This window comes from Homo sapiens, chromosome 4, assembly GCF_000001405.40.
Source record: "Homo sapiens chromosome 4, GRCh38.p14 Primary Assembly".
Taxonomy (NCBI): Eukaryota; Metazoa; Chordata; class Mammalia; order Primates; family Hominidae; genus Homo; species Homo sapiens.
The window spans coordinates 15,685,259-15,705,065 of record NC_000004.12 but is presented as its reverse complement, the minus strand read 5'-3'; the positions used below and the strand labels follow the sequence as shown (position 1 = coordinate 15,705,065).

The 19,807-nt window shown below is 41.1% G+C and overlaps 2 protein-coding genes across 32 annotated transcripts in view, besides 2 other annotated features; both read right to left on the bottom strand.

Moving 5' to 3' along the window:
- The window catches only part of BST1 (bone marrow stromal cell antigen 1), a 71,109-nt gene extending 69,108 nt beyond the window's left edge, over positions 1–2,001 (bottom strand). For 7 of the 8 annotated variants that reach the window (XM_011513878.4, XM_017008566.3, XM_017008565.3 and 4 more), the window contains exon 1: positions 1,734–2,001. In XM_011513878.4, coding sequence (XP_011512180.1) covers positions 1,734–1,921 — 188 coding nt within the window. In that variant the 5' untranslated portion in view covers positions 1,922–2,001. The remainder of the gene's footprint in view (positions 1–1,733) is intronic. The other variant, XM_011513881.3, reaches the window with a different exon arrangement.
- Positions 1,983–2,062: a silencer, noted in NCBI's record as "silent region_15300". NCBI's record gives its function as "represses an Ori minimal core promoter by ATAC-STARR-seq in GM12878 lymphoblastoid cells {active_cell/tissue: GM12878}" and the evidence as "EXISTENCE:reporter gene assay evidence [ECO:0000049][PMID:35858748]".
- Positions 9,335–9,931: an enhancer, noted in NCBI's record as "OCT4-NANOG-H3K27ac hESC enhancer chr4:15696758-15697354 (GRCh37/hg19 assembly coordinates)". NCBI's record gives its function as "activates a minimal SCP1, AML or CMV promoter by ChIP-STARR-seq in naive H9 embryonic stem cells {active_cell/tissue: H9 hESC(naive)}" and the evidence as "EXISTENCE:reporter gene assay evidence [ECO:0000049][PMID:30033119]".
- Positions 14,619–19,807, bottom strand: part of FAM200B (family with sequence similarity 200 member B) — a 53,657-nt gene continuing 48,468 nt past the window's right edge. For 8 of the 24 annotated variants that reach the window (XM_047450117.1, XM_024454011.2, XM_024454010.2 and 5 more), the window contains 2 exons: positions 18,604–18,830; positions 14,619–18,065 (listed from right to left, as the gene is read on the bottom strand). In XM_047450117.1, coding sequence (XP_047306073.1) covers positions 16,115–17,557 — 1,443 coding nt within the window. In that variant the 5' untranslated portion in view covers positions 17,558–18,065; positions 18,604–18,830 and the 3' untranslated portion in view covers positions 14,619–16,114. Of the gene's footprint in view, positions 18,831–19,807 lie in introns of all 24 variants that reach the window. The other 16 variants (XM_047450112.1, XM_047450110.1, XM_047450107.1 and 13 more) reach the window with 3 other exon arrangements.

Sequence of the window (19,807 nt, the reverse complement as noted above, 5' to 3'; positions counted from 1 at the left end):
TCTGGCAAAGCAGGTGCACCCTCCAGTGCAAGCCCCTCTTGAGGTCCATGCTAGTTTTCAAAAAATATTTCCCATAGCATTTGTAACTTTGTTTCTCATACTGGGTGGTGTGTAACACAGGTGGTTCTCTGCTGTTTCTTATTTGCCTGAAATGTGCGACAATAAAAATGATCAGCACAAGAAAGACATCACAAACATAAGAAAAGGGGGGCCACAGAAGGAACAAAAATCAGTAAGAAATGCAGCACTGGCAAGAAAGACCCAAACTTCAGAAATCCTCCAGATTTAGGGGATCTGAAATTTGAATTCTGGAAGGACTGGACTCAAGGAATTCCAACCTGAGATCACATTCTGGGTTCTGAGTATTCAGACTAAACATCTGCTGGGTGGCAATGGGCTGTTACCCAGTTCACCTCTACCCCACCCTCACTTCTAGAGGGATACCTCTCCACCCTCCTTCACACTCACACACACCTCTCACCTCTAGACCACACACACATCCCTCACCTCTAGACCACACACACATCCCTCACCTATAGACCACACACACACACCTGTCACCTCTAGACTACACACACACACCCCTCACCTCTAGAACAAACACACACACATCTCACCTCTAGAACACACACACAACTCACCTCTAGAACACACACACACACACATCCCTTACCTCTAGAACACACACACCTCTCACTTCTAGAACACACACACCCATCATCTCTAGAACACACACATCTCACCTCTAGAACACACACCCCTCAACTCCAGAACACACACACACCCCTCACCTCTAGAACACACATACACACCTCATCTCTAGAACACACACTCTCCTCAGCTCTAGAATACACATACACCCCCTCACCTCTAGAACACACACACCCCTCACCTCTAGACCACACACACATCCCTCACCTCTAGACCACACACACATCCCTCACCTATAGACCACACACACACACCTGTCACCTCTAGACTACACACACACACCCCTCACCTCTAGAACACAGATACACACACACCTCTAGAACACATGCACGCACCCCTCACCTCTAGAACACACACACACACATCTCACCTCCAGAACACACACACCCCTCACTTCTAGAACACACACACCCCTCACCTCTAGAATACACACACCCCTCACCTCTAGAGCGCACGCACACACACCCCCTTCACCTCTAGAACACACATGCACACACCCCTCACCTCTAGAACACACATACAGACACCTCACCTCTGGAACACACACACCCCTTACCTCTAGAACACACACACACATCTCACCTTTAGAACACACACACACACCCCTCACCTCTAGAGCACACACACACACACACACCCCCACCTCTAGAGCACACACACACACATCCACCTCTAGAGCACACACACACCTCCCACCTCTAGAGCGCGCGCACACACACACCCCCCTCACCTCTAGAACACACGCACACACCCCTCACCTCTACAGTGTGTGTGTGCGCGCACACACACACACTCATCTCTAGACCCCGCACAGCGCACCCCTCACCTGCAGACACACTTCACAGCCCCCTCCTCACTCGCCCCCATCGTTCAGGACCATCGCTGTCTCCACACTCACCTCTCCCCTCAAGGCCTCTCTCATTGCCCCCTCACCCCGAACTTTAGCGCCAGTTTTCCCCTCCCCAGGCCCTCCCCACCGTTGCCTCTTTCCGGCTCCCCTTCCACCCGGCCGACTGCCTCACCGCTGCTCGGGACTCAGCAGTGCGCGGTACTCGGCGCAGCGGCCCAGGAAGATGTCCCGCAAGTGTGCGCTGGTGCCCTCCCCGCGCCACCGCGCGCGCGCCCCGCCCGCCGCCAGCAGCAACAGTAGAAGCAGAAGCTGCAGCAGCAGCTGGAGCAGCCGCGATGCCGCGCACCCCTGGGCCGCCATCGGGGAACTTTGGTCCCTCCAGTCCCGTGCTTCCTCCACTCCCCTTCTCTCCTTCTACCAAGGCGGTTCCGCAAACTGATGCAGGGCGGGACTCTCGCTCGGATATCTCGCTGTTTGCCGTTTCCCGTTCCAGACAATTTCAAGACTGAGCGTGGGGCGGGGCGCGGCGGCTCATGCCTGTAATCCCAGCACTTTGAGAGGCCTAGACGGGCGGATCGCTTGAGTATAGGAGTTCGAGACAAACCTGAGTAACATACAGGTGAGAAACCTCCTCTCTACAAAAAAATACAAAACTTAGCTGGTCCTGGTGGTGCGCATCTGTAGTCTCAGCTACCTGCGAGGTGAGATGTGAGGAGGCTTGACCCCAGGGGATCGAGGCTGCAGCGAGCAGTGATTGCACCACTGCACTCCAGCCCTGGGCGACAGAGTGAGACTCTGTCTAAAAAAAAAATTAATAAATAAATAAAATTAAAAAAGAGTGAGCTTGGAACATCACCCAGGACAGGACCAGTGCACTGTGGCCCAGGCTAATCTTGACCGCTGTCCACGGGGAGGGAGCCCCAAAGAAGCCGCAAGGTTGAAGGAGAGGTGAGGAGAGGTCAGTCATCATCAGAAGAAATACTTTTCTGGCTCCAAAGGACGACAACTTTGACAGATGCCCTCTTTCACACCAACCAATAAGTGGTGTTTGTTTGTTTTCAGGAAATAATAACCACAACAACGTGCCAAGCACTTTGCAAGTATAATATTAATTACTTTCCGCAACACCCTTCCTAGCTAAGTTTGTAATTTCTCTCGCTTTAGCAATGGATAAACTCAGGGAAGTTAAGCATGTTCGGCCCTCCAGATTTGCGGATTCATCATCCAAATTCAGCTAACCACGGATGAGAAACATTTGAGGAAAAAAAGAATGCTTGCATCTGTACGGAACATGTACGGACTTTTTTTTCCTTGTCATCATTCCCTAAATAATCCAATGTAACAACTACTTATGTAACAATTACATAGTACTTGATATTACAAGGAATCTGGAGATGACGTGAATTATAGAAGAGGATGTGCAAATACTGTATACTACACCATTTAATATAAGGGCCTTGAGCATCTGTGGATTTTGGTATCCAGGAGGTTCCTGGAACCAATTCTCCATGGATACCTACCGCCGACTGTAACTTGTCAGAGGTCACAATATCCCTTCCTGATAGATGCAAAATCCTGGAGATGTTCAGTTTAAGAGAGCCAGGATTGGCCGGGCGCGGTGGCTCACACCTGTAATCCCAGCACTTTGGGAGGCCGAGGCGGGTGGATCACGAGGTCAAGAGATCGAGACCATCCTTGCTAACACGGTGAAACCCCGTCTCTACTAAAAATACAAAAGATTAGCCAGGCGCGGTGGCGGGCGCCTGTTGTCCCAGCTACTCGGGAGGCTGAGGCGGGAAAACGGCGTGAACCCAGGAGGCAGAGCTCGCAGTGAGCCGAGATCGGGCCACTGCACTCCAGTCTGGGCAACAGAGTGAGACTCCGTCTCAAAAAAAAAAAAAAAAAGAGCCAGTATTAATAGAATACCACGTGGAGGCCCAAGTCCTCAATTCTTACAATAATGACAGCAATGAACTTTGAGTGCCTGGCAAGCACTTGATAAACACAAGGGAGGACAGAACAGGTGTTCTCTACTGTTTTATTTGAATCTCTTTTTTTCTGTAACCAAAACCCGCATTCTCCTGTTCAGTTCCTCCTTAAGTTAAATCCACTTTCCAGAGGAAAGCATTTTTAATTCTTTCAAGTTTTGTTCCTGTGTTTACTTCCATATTTCTAAATAACATGTGTGAACCCGCAAATTTTGAGACAGGTCTCAATTAATTTAGAAAGTTTATTTTAGCAAGGTTGAGGACACGTGTCCATGACACAACCTCAGGAAGTCCTGACGACATGTACCCAAGGTGGTCAGGGCACAGCTTGGTTTTATACATTTTAGGGAGACATGAGATATCAATCAATATATGTAAGAAGTACATTGGTTCTGTCCAGAGAGGCGGGGACAACTCGAAGCACGGAGGGGGCTTCCAGGTCTCAGGTAGGTGAGAGACAAATGGTTGCCTTCTTTTGAGTTTCTGATAAGCCTTTCCAAAGAAGGCCATCAGAATATGCATATATCTCAGTGAGCAGCTGAATGACTTTGAATAGAATGGGAGGCAAGTTTGCCCTGAGCAGTTCCCAGCCTGACTTTTCCCTTTAGTTTAGTAATTTTGGGGCATCCCTGGCATGGCTCGTCCCACCAAATCTAATGTGAAATTGTAATCCCCAACGTTGGAGGTGGGGCCTGGTGGGAGGTGATTTTATCATGGGTGTGGGTTTCTCAAGAATAGTCTAGCACCATCCCCTTGTTGCTATTCTCATGATAGTAAGTGAGATCTGGTTGTTTTAAACTGTGTAGCACTGGCAGGGCGCCGTGGCTCACACCTGTAATCACAGCAGTTTGGGAGGCTGGTGTGGGGGGTGTGTTGGGAATCACGGATCGAGACCATCCTGGCCAACATGGTGAAACCCCATCTATACTAAAAATACAAAAATTAGCTGGGCGTGGTGGCACGCACCTGTAGTCCCAGCTCTTCGGGAGGCTGAGGCAGAAGAATCGCTTGAACCTGGGAGGCGGAGGTTGCAGTGAGCTGAGATCTCACCACTGCACTCCAGCCTGGTGACAGAGTGAGACTCTGTCTCAAAAAAAAAAAAAAAAGAAGTGTGTAGCACCTCCTCCCTCTCTCTTGCTCCCTGCTGCCACCGTGTAAGACCCATTGCTCCCCCTTTGCCTTCCACCACATTTGGAAACTTCCTGAAGCCTCTCCAGATGCAGAAGCCACTATGCTTCCTACAGCCTGCAGAACTGTGAGCCAATTCAACCTCTTTTTCTTATAAATGAGCAGTTTCAGGTATCTATAGCAATGCAAGAACAGACTAATACAATACCTATATGCTATTTCTTGATGTTTCTGTTTGGGACATTATTCTGTTTGGGACATTATGACATTTTATTTGTTGTAAACCTCTTGTTTACCCTGGAGGTAATCATTATCTAGAAAGTAACTAGCTTGCTTTTGATATTACAGGCTCATAGGCAGAAGGCATTTGCCTTGTCTCAGATGAAACTTTGAACTGTGGACTTTTGGGCTAATGTTGAAGTTAAGACTTTGAGGGTCTGTTGAGAAGGCATGATTGGTTTTGAAATGTGAGGATGTGAGATTTGGAGGGGCCGGGGTGGAATGATATGGTTTGGCTGTGTCCCCACCCAAATCTCAACTTGAATTGTATCTCCCAGAATTCCCACGTGTTGTGGGAGAGAGCTAGGTTGGGGTGGGGGTGGGGAGGCAGGGTGGGAGTAATTGAATCATGGGGGCCGGTCTTTCCCATGCTATTCTGGTATTCTGGTGATAGTGAATAAGTCTCACAAGATCTGATGGGTTTATCAGGTGTTTCCACTTTTGCTTCTTCCTCATTTTTCTCTTGCCGCTGCCATGTAAGAAGTGCCTTTCACCTCATGCCATGATTCTGAGGCCTCCCCAGCCATGCAGAACTGTAAGTCCAATTAACCCTCTTTCTGTTCCCAGTTTCAGGTGTGTCTTTATGAGCAGCATGAAAACGAACTAATACAACTAGATCTCACATCCTCCTCTTTCTTGTTTTATGGAGCACATCTTCCAATAGCTTCTTGAGAAGATACACAGGGACTAAACTTTCTGAGATTTTTTGCATAAGAATTCAAAATGTCATTATTCTACCTTCACACTTAATTGAGAATTTGATTGGATGTCTGAGATTTTTGCATAAGAATTCAAAGTGTCATTATTCTAACCTCACACTTGATTGAGAATTTGGTTGGGTACATTTTTGCATTGGAAAGCATTTCCCTTCAAAATTTTGAAGACTGTGTTCCATTGTTTTCTGTGTTGCTGTTGAGAAATCTGAACCCATTTTCCTATTCCTGTTTATTTGACCTTTTTTGTTGTTGTTTGTTTTGTTTTTTATTCTTTGGCCTGTTTTTTTTCTATCTGGAAATTTTCAGAATTTCCTTCTATTCTTAGGAGTATGAAATTTCAGAGATGAAGTTGGGCAAAAGTAGTTGTTTTTCATTGTACTGGACAATCCATGAGCCCTTTTAACCTACAAACTCATGTCTTTAAATACTGAGATATTTTCTCAATTTTTTGGTAATTTCCCCTCCTCCAAATTCTGTTTTCTCTTTCTGAAATTCCTGTTACTCATATAGGAATGATTTCCTTGTTAGACTTCCTAGTCTTTAATTTTCTATATTTTCACCTTTTTTCTTTGTCTTCTTATACTTTCTTGAATATAAATTTATCATTATCTTCCAACTTCTCTGTTGCTTTTTTAAATTTATACTATATATATATATATATATATATATATATATATATACTTATATATACAGTTGTGTTCTACACGTTCAGGTCTTTTTGCTTTTTATAATCTTCTCTTGCTGTTTTGTGAATATTTCTGAGGCTTTTATTACAGATGTAGGTTTTTCATTTTTCTTTTAAATTTTCTTCTGCCAATGTCTGTTTCCTTTGAGTGCCTTATTTCCATTTTGGTGACTGGCTTTAATGTGAGAAGTTTCCCTCAAATAAACTGATGACCTTTGGCTGATTATTTTTACAAACACAGAAAAACATAAGGAACAGTATTAGTTCATTGTCGCACTGCAGATAAAGACATACCTGAGACTGGGTAATTTGGCAGAAGGCAACAGGCACGTCTTACATGGCAGTAGGCAAGAGACAGCTTGTGCAGGGGAACTCCTCTTTATAAAACCATCAGATCTTGTGAAACTTATTCACTATTATGAGAATGGGAAAGACCCACCCCCATGATTCAATTACCTCCCACCGAGTCCCTCATATGACATGAGGGAATTGTGGGAACTACAATTCAAGATGAGATTTGGTTGGGGACGCAGCCATACCATATCAGGCACTAATTAGAAGCAGGCTCAAGGCAAATGGTCAGAGTTTGTCAAAGGGTGGGCTGCCCTGTAGGATGAACATACTGCACTTTATCACTAAGAGATACCTGTCATTTTCTCTTGGACAGTCCGTTTTTCCAGAGAGTAATATTCCTTTTTTTTTTTTTTTTTTTTTTTTTGAGACAGAGTCTCGCTCTGTTGCCCAGGCTGGAGTGTAGTGGCGTGATCTCGGCTCACTGCAAGCCCTGCCTCCTGGATTCATGCCATTCTCCCGCCTCAGCCTCCCAAGTAGCTGGGACTACAGGCGCCCACCACCACACCTGGCTAATTTTTTTTGTATTTTTAGTAGAGACGGGGATTCACCATGTTAGCCAGGATGGTCTTGATCTCCCGATCTCGTGATCCACCCGCCTCAGCCTCCCAAAGTGCTGGGATTACAGGCGTGAGCCACTGTGCCTGGCCTAATATTCCTATTTTCTACCTGGAAGGATATATGCCTGGATGATAGCAATGTGGAGCTGAGTGGGGGAAGGTGGCTGGGAGAATCTCACTATTCAGTATAAAGATTTTCACTTATCCCTCCTCTCTCACCACATTTTTAGTAGAAGCTCTGGCCTCACTGATGCCTGGTACCCCACAACCTAGAATCTTTGGTCTACTCTTCAGGAAATATGTTGCTGCACAGGATTAGGGAGGGCATTCTTGGACTTCCAACTACTTTTTTGACTTCCAGCCCTACATCCACTCCCACTTTCATGTTAGTGACAGACCTTTCTTCCAATTCCTCTTCCTTTTGAGGGTTCATGACATCAAACAACTTTCTTCACAGCTTACATTCTCTTTCCCCACTAGCCAACTGAGGTTTCAGCCTTCACTGGCCAACTAAATTGTTACCCCTTCCTCATTTTCTTTCCACCATCCCAAATTCTGTTCCTGACAACTCCTCTTCTTTTCTCTTTTCCCTCATGGTTTACTCCTTTTTCATTTTGTTTATATTCATCTTATTCATTGTCATGGGGGATGAGTTTGTTTTGAGGGAAGAAGTCTTTCATACCTCACAAACCCTCAAAACATGACTTTATCTTGATGTGTGAGGCAACAGGAAATACACAGCACCACTTCTGAAGTATCCATGCATCTGTCTGTCTATCTATCTATCTATCTAATCTGAATCTAGCAAACTTTCAGATTTAACTACAGTTTTCAGGAAATATAGAGGATAGAGGGACATGTTAAATGATACCACAGGCAGTCATGCACTGAAACCGGCTGACAATATTTGACAGGTATATTTTCAAAAATGTATCAAAAATCTGGGAGCCATTTGTTAAACACAGTCATATTAAAAATTAAATTATATAAACTTACAATAAAATAAATTATATTAAAAGCAGGCCGGGCACAGTGGCTCACGCCTGTAATCCCAGCACTTTGGGAGGCCGAGGCGGGTGGATCATGAGGTCAGGAGTTCGAGACCATCCTAGCTAACATGGTGAAACCCCATCTCTACTAAAAATACAAAACATTAGCTGGGCGTGGTGGCGGGTGCCTTTGGTCCCAGCTACTTGGAAGGCTGAGACAGGAGAATGGTGTGAACCTGGGAGGTGGAGCTTGCAGTGAGCTGAGATTGCGCCACTGCAATCTCAGCCTGGGCTACAAAGCCAGATTCCGTCTCAAAAAAATAAATAAAAGCAAAGGTAATAAACATCCAAAATACATAACTTCTTAATTATTTTACTACATGTTGCTATTATTTATGCTCTTGGGGATATTTATATCTATTTTATTTTGGGTCTACGTACCAAAAGCCAAAAACCAAATTTATATATTGACATTCATCAAAGCTAAGAAATTCTGCTCTTCAAAAAACACCACTAAGAAAATGAGCAATCCACAAATTGGGATGTACTTGCAATACATGTATCTGACAAAGGCATGTATGTAAAAAACAGGGTTGTCCAATCTTGTGGCTTCCCTGGGCCACATTGGAATAACCCACACATAAAAAACACTAACACTAACATAAGACTAACACTAACTTCAGCCACACATAAAAAGCACTAGCATTAGCTGATGAGCTTAAAAAAAAAAAAGAAAAAGTTCTGTGTGTTACATGTAGTTAGACAGGCATGAGTGCAGCAGGAGAGGGCTCTTCCCCCACCCACTAGGAATGTCGGGTGTTGGTTTGGCACTTATTACATTGCCTCTTTAAAAGTGATAAATTGGCAGCTGACACCAGGGAGAGGCCATTTCCTTATGGTCCACACCTGCGGCACTAAACGGTTAATTGAATGCAGAGACCAGGGAAAAGCAACTTCCAGGGCATGTACATTAAGAGACAAAATGGTGGAGTATGACCTTCCAGGGGCACTCCCCTGGAAAATGGAAGAAAGCCTCAGATGGCATGCATACAGCTTCCTAAACACATTGTGCATGCTCACCTCCCAAGTACATTAAATAAAAGCAGTTGTTATGCTTGTGTGCATGGCCGGCTGGAGGCCCAGAGAGTCCCCTTTCCACTCGGATGGTCTCCCAGTCGACCGGGCATGGGCTGCATGGTAGCTCTCTTCCAGGATTCTACGGCTTGGGGCAACAAATCATGCCAGGCTCTCTCTCTGCTATATCCCGAAGTCCAACACCCTGCGAGTCAGCCCCCGAGGACCACTCAGCTTCCTTTTCCCGTCAATTTCACCTTGTGTCTGTCACCACAGGGGGAGAATTTGGCATTCCTTGGAAGCTTAATGGGATGCCGTGAGCTTAAGCCTTTCCAGGAGCTTACTCATCAGTCTGCCCTTAGTCATCCTCAAACAGATGTATGGTGGTATTGTGGTGAACACTTACTGGACACTCTGCCAGGTAACTGGAGTGGTACTTACACTCTTGTCTAATTGGCTATCCCTTTCACCCTGACATTTCATCAACCAGAAAAAGAAAAACCACAACACCTCCCCCGCCAAAAAAAAAAAAAGAAGAAGAAAAGCCTCTTATGGATCTTTTGACTCTCAAGTTAACATAGACGTCATTGGAGTCCCACAAGAAGTGCCTAACAGATTCAAAGTCCATGACCAAATAGCTGCAGAATTTAAATCCATATTTCCACAGGTAACTATTAATAAAAATGTGGCTTGGATAAATTACATCTATTATAATCAGCAACAGTTTATTAATTACACCAAGGATGCTATCAAAGGAATAGCTGACCAATTAAGGCCTACTAGCCAAATGACTTGGGAAAACAGAATAGCTCTAGACATGTTATTAGCCAAAAAAGGTAGGGTTTGTGTTATAATTAAAACCCAATATTGCACCTTCATCCCAAACAACACTGCTCCCAATGGAAGCATAACAAAGGCCTTGCAGGGATTTACTGCTTTATCCAATGCATTAACTAAAAATTCTGAAGTCAATGACCCTATTTCAGAATGGCTAGGAAAGTGGTTTGGTAAATATAAAGGAAACATAGCCTCAATTCTTATTTCTCTTGCAATCGTACTAGACGAACTCGTTAGGTGATGTGTCATACCATGCATCCATAGGCAAATACAAAAGATTGTACAAACAGCACTTACTAAAGCCTCCCTTAGTTCTCCTCCACCTTATTCAAGTAAGCTTTTCCTTTTAGAAGATCAAAACAAACGGCAAAGCCAAGACATGTTAAAGAGTTTGAAGAGAAAAATCATAAGAAAATTTAAAAGGGAGGAGTTGTAAGATACAATGAATTTCTCTGAGTTTCTCTTCAAAAATGTAGCCTGCTAACTTCCTTGTCTTTTGTTCTCAAACTCAACTTTCCTGTTCCTCCTTGTCCCTAGTTACTGTAAAACAGCCTACCCCTTTTCTGTCATCCCTAATCAATAACTCACATCTATTCCCTTGGTTACCTGCACCCATTGTGTCCCTGAAACTGCACGTCTCACATGCTCCACCTCTGTAGCTCACGTCCCCCTCCCCTTTTATATTTAGAAAAATATGTACAAGTAGCCAATAGGGTCAGCTCAGATTGTGCAGTCTGACCCTACCCATGGGGGAGGGACACAGAAGTAGGAATTGCGTTAAGGATATAAAAACCCCCCAGTCTCCTTTGTTCTCTGTGCTCTTGCGATCTTAGTTGATGCAAGTGGCACCCTTCTGCAGAAGTCAATTGCCTTGCTGACAGGATTAAACTTTTGCCTGACTGCTGGTTTTACTTCACGGCACCGAGCATTTATTCCTCGAGCTTTTTATATCCAACAAACTCAAAAATAAGAAAAACAACCACATCTTAAAATTGGCAAAATAGTTAAACAAATGCCTCACCAAAGAAGATATTCCATTCCTAGGTATTTACCAAAGGAAAAATGAAAATACATCTATGCAAAGATTTGTGCCCATGTTTGTAGAAGCTTAATTCGTAACTCAAAACAGTAAACAATGCAAATGTCCAACAACAATATATTAATAACTTGTAACATCATCATATAATAGAGTATTATTTAGCAATACAAAAAAATGACAAATCTTTTAAAAATATGCTGAATGAAAGAAGCTAGATGTAAAAGAACACAAACTTTATTACTCCACTTACATAAATTTCTAGAAGAAATAGTAGTATGCTGATATACACAGTTGGCGGAAAAGAGATTTCAGATGGAACGAATTGCCTGAGCAAAGGCAGAAAAGGAAAAACCATGGAGCTTCTGAAAACAGTTGAAAATTTAGTTTGATTGGTAAACAGGTTGCAGATGGAGATTGGACAGGAAAGTTAGGGTCATATCTTAAAACCATTGAGCACAATGCTAAGGCATTTTCACTTTGTTCTCTTGATCATTATGAGTTATCAATAATTTCTGAGCTTCCTTATTGAAAACTGTGTTTCTTTTCTTGGCCAAAATTCTTGATTGCCAGAGAATGAAGAGAGATTATGCATTTAAAGGCCTTAGAATAGTGTTTCATAGTGTGCTCTCATTGATGGTTTTGAATGCTTATCTAATATGTTCTGTGTGTTTATTGTCCGTTGTGGAAGGCTGAAAAATAGGCCAGCAAAGATGTCCATGTCCTAAACCCTGGAGCCTATGAATACGTTACTTTACATAGTAAGAAGGCCTTTGCAGATGTGATTAAATTAAGGATCTTGAGATGAGCAGATTATACTGGCTGATCTGGATGAGTCCAATGTCATCTTAAGAGTCCTTACAGGAGGAAGTCAGGTAAATCAGAGACACAGAGAAAATAATGTGATGGCAAAAGCAGAGAGATACTTGAAGATATTATGCTGCTGGCTCTGAAGATGCAGGAAGGAGCCATAAGACAGGGGACGCAGGCAGACTTCAGAAGCTTGGAAGGGTAAGGAAACATTCTTCCCTGAATAATCCAGATGGAATGAATCCTGCTGATACCTCGACTTTTGCCCAGTATACATTGGACTCCAAAGAAGAATAAATTTATGTTGCTTTAAGCCACTATGTGGCAATTTGCTAAAGCAGCAATAGGAAACAAATACAGATTAGGGTACCTGAAACCATCACTCTTTCTGCCCCTTTTCCCCTTCATTTGTAAGGTTGAACTTGGGAATCACCAGGAGTAGGACTATTATTCTTGTTTAATCTTGACCAGAGTCCACAAGGAAGGCACCCCAAAGAAAAAGCAAGATTGGAGAATAGGTGAGTTCAGTCATCAAGATAAAGATTTTTCTGGCCCCAAATTATGACAACTTTGCTGTAACAAACACTAAAATTATGGAAGTAATTTGGATTTGGATAATCTGTAGAGAGACTGGAAGAATTCTTAGGAATATGATAGAAGAGGCCTAAATATGCTCGAATAGGCTGTTAGTAAAAATACGGGTGTTATGAGGGCTTGGAAGTAAGTGAACAGCATGGTAGAGAAAACCTGTATCATACTAGAGAAAATCTTAACACACCATAAACTGTAGAAATATAGATGTTAAAAGTGCTGCTGGTGAGGGCTCACAAGAAATTGAGAAACATATTTTTGGAAACTAAAGGAAAGAGGGTTCTTGTTATACAGTGGTAGAAAGCTTAGATGAATTGTGTCCTATAATTGTAAGAAAACAGAACTTTTAAGCAATGAACTTGTATAGTTGAAGTTTCCAAGCAGTGATGAAGGTCTGACTTGGATTTTTCTTGTTACTTTTAGAAAAATGAGAGAGAAAAGGGATAAACTGAGAGAACTGTTAGAAAATGAAACTATGATTTGATGATTTGAGTAATTCTCAGCCTATCCAGATTGCAAAAGATGCCAAAGCTAAGAGATCCACTGTAAGGAAAACATGCTCTGGCGAGAAAGCCAACAATATGGCTGCACATCCTTTTTTTAAAAAGTTTTTGAATTTTAAATTGTGGTAAAATATACACAATATGAAATTTATTATCTTAACTATTTGTAAGTGTGGGTAGTCTTTTGCTACTGCTTAGGAGGCACAAAAGATTACAGTATTCAGATACACAGAGCTCTTTGAAGAGGCATGTGACTCACAAACCCCCTCAACCAATCTCAGCAGAAGCCCCAACTAGAGATAGGATTATTCAGGAAACATCTGTTGAGAAGCCTCTTTCAATGGAGTGAATCCCTATGACTCACAATGTTTTGTTTACCAATAGAAACACTGTCAAATTGGACTAAAACGGACAGAGTGGTTGAAATGAAAGAAGGCAACCGAGTTCCCTAAATTCTACTAGCAGGAAATGGGCTAATAAAACTATTTAGTAGCAGACATGTGGTACTCCTCATCCAAAAAGATGGCTCTGAGGGTGGAGCCCCAGGTACAGAGGGCAGGTGCAGGAGCCACAGCTATTCCCAGGCTTAGTAACCTAATGCAGTTTGTCCATGGGACTTTGAAAGGAATTGGCTGGTGTCTTCTTTTTGGCTTTTTCTCCCTTTTTGAATGGGAACATCTATGAATGTTACCCTATTTCTGTCCCACTACTGTTGTAGAGCACAGAACTTGCTTTCTAGTTTCATAGGTCCTTAGATAAAAAATTTTGCCCCAGAGTAGATTATACTCAGAGCTGCACCCATATCTAATTTAGATATGAGATTTGGGACTTTTTAGTTGATGAAACTTAGATGAGATTTGGACTTGAGTTGATGCTATAATGGGTTGAGATTTATGGGGACCCTAGGAGGGGTGAATGTATTTTTCACATGGGATGGATGAGTCTTTGGGGACCAGAGGGTGCTACAGTAGGCTTAATAATGGCCTCCCCAAAGATGTCTACATCCTACTGCCTGAAACCCATGAATGTTACCTTACATGGTAAAAGAGATTTTACAGAGGAGACACACAGAAACACACAAACCTCTGGATCAGAGACACAATTTCTTATTCATAGCAAAAACAGCAGCCAGAGTAGCATTGTATGTGTTCCCCATGCTCCAATTCCTATAACGTAATACAGTAAGGGCCAGGTGTTACCTCTGCATGGAGTGGGTTGCACTACAGAAGAGGAGCCCCAAATTTTAAGTCTCTAGGCTTTTATGGGGCTGCTGACATGTCTGCCTATCTTCTCCAGAGAGATTACTCATTATTTCTGGAATGTAGGCAAATTCCCCTCCTGGCGTGAGAAAAGAGAAGGCTTTATCTTTACTTCCCTGGGATGTCTCTAGGGGAGGTGCTATCTCTAGCGTCACTATCCTGGAATGTTTCCTTTACACATTCTTAATTTGGATGTGAACACGGTCAAACGGGATTCAGACTGTGCAGAAATATGAGCTATTCACAGGGAATTGTTTTTCAACACTTTATTTCAAGCATTAAAAAAAAAGAAAAAATCAATTACCTTCAATAGAACAGAAAATCTGAAAAATTAAATAAGGCTAGGCATGGTAGCAGATGGAAAGGAATTACTATCCTGTATGATTTTAATGACAATGACCATGCCAAATAATATCACCCAGTGGGATAAGGGAGTACACAGAAAGGCAGAAGTTGAAATTAGTTTGAAGACTACATTGTATATTACACAATATACATTGCTTAAGCATCAGCAACGTGAAGCAACATCAATGCCGTTTCTGGATGGTTACAGCAGTTATGTCAAAATTAGATTTTTAAAAGTAAAAAGGCAAAGAAATTTGCCACATATTTAATAATTACTCTTGGGAATGACTGCAAATTAGAGATGTTAGGTATTATTGATTCATTTATTCTTTAGCAAATGTGTATTGAACACATACTATGTATCAGGCAAATGGATATCACCTCCCCTACTATGGAAGAATAACAGTAATCAGATAATTAAAAATTATATACTCCAGGGTGGCAGAATGACAATCAGTAATCAAAATTATTACAAATTATATACTACAAGGAAAACAAAGAAATAAAGGAATAATGGAGGATTTACCCTAGGGTGGTTAGAAAAGGTTTTTTTAGGGAAGTAACATTTAATTTTCTCGAGACAGGGTTTCACTCTGTTGCTCAGGCTGGACTGCAGTGGTGCAATCATAGATGACTGCAACTTCAAACTCCTGAGGTCAAGCGACCCTCCTGCCACAGCCTCCTGAGTAGCTGGGACTATAGGTGTGCACCACCACACCTGACTTATTTTTAAAATATTTTTAGTAGAAATAAGGTCTCACTATGTTGCCCAGGATGGTCTTGAACTCCTGGGCTCAACAGAGCCTTCTGCCATGGCCTGCCAAAGTGCGGGGATTACAGGTCTGAGCCACCATGCCCAGTGAGGGGAAAGTAACATTTAATTCAGACTTACCCTAAGAATTTAAAATAGTGACCAGAGTGTCTTTTAAAACCTAGCTCAGATCATTTCTCTCCTTCGCTTAAACCCTTCAACTGTTCTCTAGTCCACTGACAAAAGCCAGAGGCCCAATAATGGTCTACAGAACCCTTCATGGTTTGGTTCCCCAGTACTTCCCTGACCTTCCTTCTTACTACTCTTTCCATAGCACTTAATAGCTTCTAAATATTATAAACCTTATTTATTAGGTTTATTGTCAATTTCTCCTTGCCAGGATATAAACTCTACTAGGGAATTACCTGTTTTGTTCACTTTTGTATCCCAAATGTCTCTAGAATAGTTCCTGGCCTCTAACAGAAATTCATTAAATTTTTGTTCAATGAACATAAAATAATTTTATTAAATATAACAAAAATTAAAACATAACAAAAGTATCACAGTATTATAGTACCATTTAAATATAACATAGAAAAATACTACAAAATAAGAAATACAAAGACAAAAGCTAGGTAAGATTTTTATTTACTATGATGGGTGTGCTTGCCTGTTCATAAGTTCATTCCAGTCTGGAACACAGGAAGATAATGCTACCCGCATAACTGCTGCACAATTCAGCCCATTTCTTTCCTTTGTTTTTAACTGCGTTAAGATGGAAAACCCTAGTTCACACAAACTAGTTGTTGTGAATGGTAGCAATAGCAGGACACTCTTTCTACTTAACAATGGAAAGTCTTCCTTTACCTTCATCCAAAATGCTGATAAACTTAAGGTTTCATAATCATTCTTCAATGTATATGAAGAACTAAGCTGCAATAATTCATTCTCTTCTTCAGGCACCAAGTTTAGCTCAATTATTGATTCAGGGTGTCGAAAAGCAAATGGATCTTTTACCCAACTGTTTTCCCTTAATGTTTCAAATTTTTCTTCTGGAAAGAAATGGTTAAAAGTTTGAGACAGAGAAGTGAGATGCAACAATATCTCTAATTTTATTTCTTTCAAAATGTTTTCATTAATAATATTCTCTTCAATATGCTGCAAAAATCTTGGAAACATGTAATAGCTAGGACGATTACTTTTAAGTCTTACTTGCCATAACAATAATGTCTTTCGAAATCCCTGGATACGTTCAACATGTTGGAATACATCACTGTTTTTCCCCTGTAGTTTTAAACTCAGTTCATTAAGAATGCTAAAAATATCAGTTAAATATGCCAATTTTGTTACCCAAGTATCATCTTCAAAAATACTTGCCAAATGAGATTTTTTTTCAATGAGAAAAAAGTGAATCTCATTCCTGAGCTCATAAACCCTGCTTAGTATTTTCCCTTGAGACAACCAACGAATTTTGGTATGATATAGTAAGTGGGTATGATTAGTTCCAATCTCTGAACAAAATGTTTCAAGAAGCCGGCTATTCAATGAGCTTCCTTTAATAAAATTAACAACTTTCACTGCATTTTTCAATACCTCCATGAGATTCTGTGGAATTTCTCTGGATGCTAAACCTTCACGATGTATAAAACAATGATTCCACACAGCACCATTATTAGTAACTTCTAGTAATTTTTTAATTACTCTGCTATGTTTTCCAGTCATGGTTGCTGTGCCATCACTTGTAATTCCTTTACAGTTTTTCCAGTTTAATTTATATTGGCCAACTATGCGCCTTTCTAATTCTGTAAAAATATCTAATCCACTTAGGTGTGAGGTTAAATTTAAAAAACACAAAAAATCCTCCAAAAAATCATCTTGCCACGCATATCTGACATAAACTAAAAGTGTTGTGCAGCTTCCAATATCAGTGCTTTCATCAAGCTGGATTGCAAAATCTATACCAGACTGTAAACGAGTAATAAGCATTGTTTCTAAATGTTCTGCAATAGTACAAATTCGAAGAGATACTGTGTTATCATTAGGTATAGTTTTTAATTTATCAGCTGATTTATCATCAAATATTGTACGCACCATATCCAAACATGCTGGAAGAATAATTTTTTCAGCAGCTGTGTTAGCTATTTTCTCTTTTGCCACACGATATGCAACTAAATATGATGATAATAAGGCTTTCTCACTAACAGCAGTAGAACAACTAAGAAATTGTGTTGATAACTTTATGTCTTTTTTCTTTCTTTGAAAATATTCAAGAGGCTTATCAATAAGTTCAGCATGCTGAGTTTCTAAGTGCCTTTTTAATTTCGAAGGTTTTAAGCTTTCATTCGCAAGAATATTATTACAAATAACACACTGAGGTCTGTCATTTTCAAAGGGTTTTTCACATTTGATAAAGCCATATTTTAAGTAATCTTCATTATAACGTCTTGCACTTACTTTTTTCTTTTTGAAATGTGGCTCAAATGAAGTTGAAGTTTGCAGATTGGAGTCAGTATTTTTCTCAATATTGTCACTATTCACAATTCCAGATTCAACAGATGAACTTGAACATGCTTCTGTATATTTCACTTCACTATTCCTCTTTCTTTTAATAAAGAAATGATCCATTTTAATAGCAATTTGTTCCAGTTTGATTAAAATGTTATAATTGGCACTAACTCAAAAAAGAAGAAAAAAATATACAGTCTAAATAACATCTTTTCAAAAACTACACTCAAAGTTTGCAATTGAATCGAATATTTCAGACTTCACAACTAGTTGCAAGTAATTGTAATATAAAACTTGACTATAGAACATTAACCGTGCTATTATGAAAATCAAGCAAGACACCCAGGAATCAATGACTGAAAACCATTTCTTAGCCAATATACATTCTATTCATCATATCTCCTCCATCAAATACCCCTCTCGCATATTGAAATTGACCTCAGCATTCCTTGCAATGTGCACAATTCAGGCAAAGGATTCATGCAAAACACTTTGGTATTTTACATTTTATTTTGTTTTTTAGACAAATGTTCATTGTGACTCACAGAATTGATTTCATGCCTCACTAATGGGTCTCACATATACCATGAAAAATACTGATATAGAGACATTTTGTGCCTTTGCTGTGTTGGTACCTTGAGTATGTCTGCTTGATGATGAAAGAGACTGGCTGATCTGCTAGACTGTTGACTTGTATAAGAACATCTTGAAGTGGTGGGAATTTATCTTAGATTTTCATTCCTGGATCATTTTTATGGTCTGATCCAGTGAGGAGCCAATGAGGTTTTCCATGGCTAGGTCAAATATCAGGTTGGAGTTGATGGTATATTTTTATAGAACTTTCCTGGAATGCATCCTTGACCTGGGAATAAGACCAGAGATAAGACATTAAAGCATCACAGTACAAAGTAGTATTACTGCCAGCTATGGGGGCCTTTATGATATCCAAGATCATAGATGGTGAGGCAAACAGTCTATAGCTCTCTTTATCACTATCTTATATTGGCTTAGGCCTATTTCTGTAAGGCAAACCACTTCAACTGAGATTAGTAAATAGAAAAATAGTGACAGTAAAACCCAGAAGTTGGCATCAGGACTTGGAAAGTATATTAACAAAACAGAATACAGCAAGCCATGAAGGAGTATAGCTTATTCACCATACATACTTCCTTTTTGCTTGGCCGCACCTATCTTGGTCATGCCTGCCTTGGTAGTGCTGCACTGCTCTCTTGGATCATAGTATATTTCAGTCTTATGACCATAACAGTAGTTTCAACCCTTCCTTACACACCTTTCCATCAAATTATCTCAAATTTTTTGGGAGGGGTGCAGTCCTACATTTACTGTAGTGTTTATTTATTAAAATTTCCACGTCTTAACTGTGTTAATACTGTATCTTTATTATGACTGTTTGTATTAATTGTACTTTCTTATTTTTGTATTGTTAATCATTTGGTATCTAGGTGGGTCCTTGATGACTGGAGAGGTACTACCTCTCCCAGGGTTAGCTAATTCCTATGCAAACTAACCAATCCAGAATCCCCCAACTCCCAACACAGACATCTTGGGTTCTTATACTCCTGGCCAATATTGCCCTATCCTAATCACTCCAGACCAGCTACCAGGCAACTAGGGATATCCCCTACGCCCGAAGTCGGCCAAAATTATTTCAACTAGCCAATTTTAAACCTGTTCAAGCCTGCTTATCCAGTTTTGCCCATTCCTTCCTCAGAAAACCAAATAAAGGCTTTCCTGCAGTTTCCTTGTACTTCCTCTCCCCATTGACCCTGCTGCTTCTAGGTATGGCACCCTTGCATGGTGTAAGGTGCCATGCTTCCT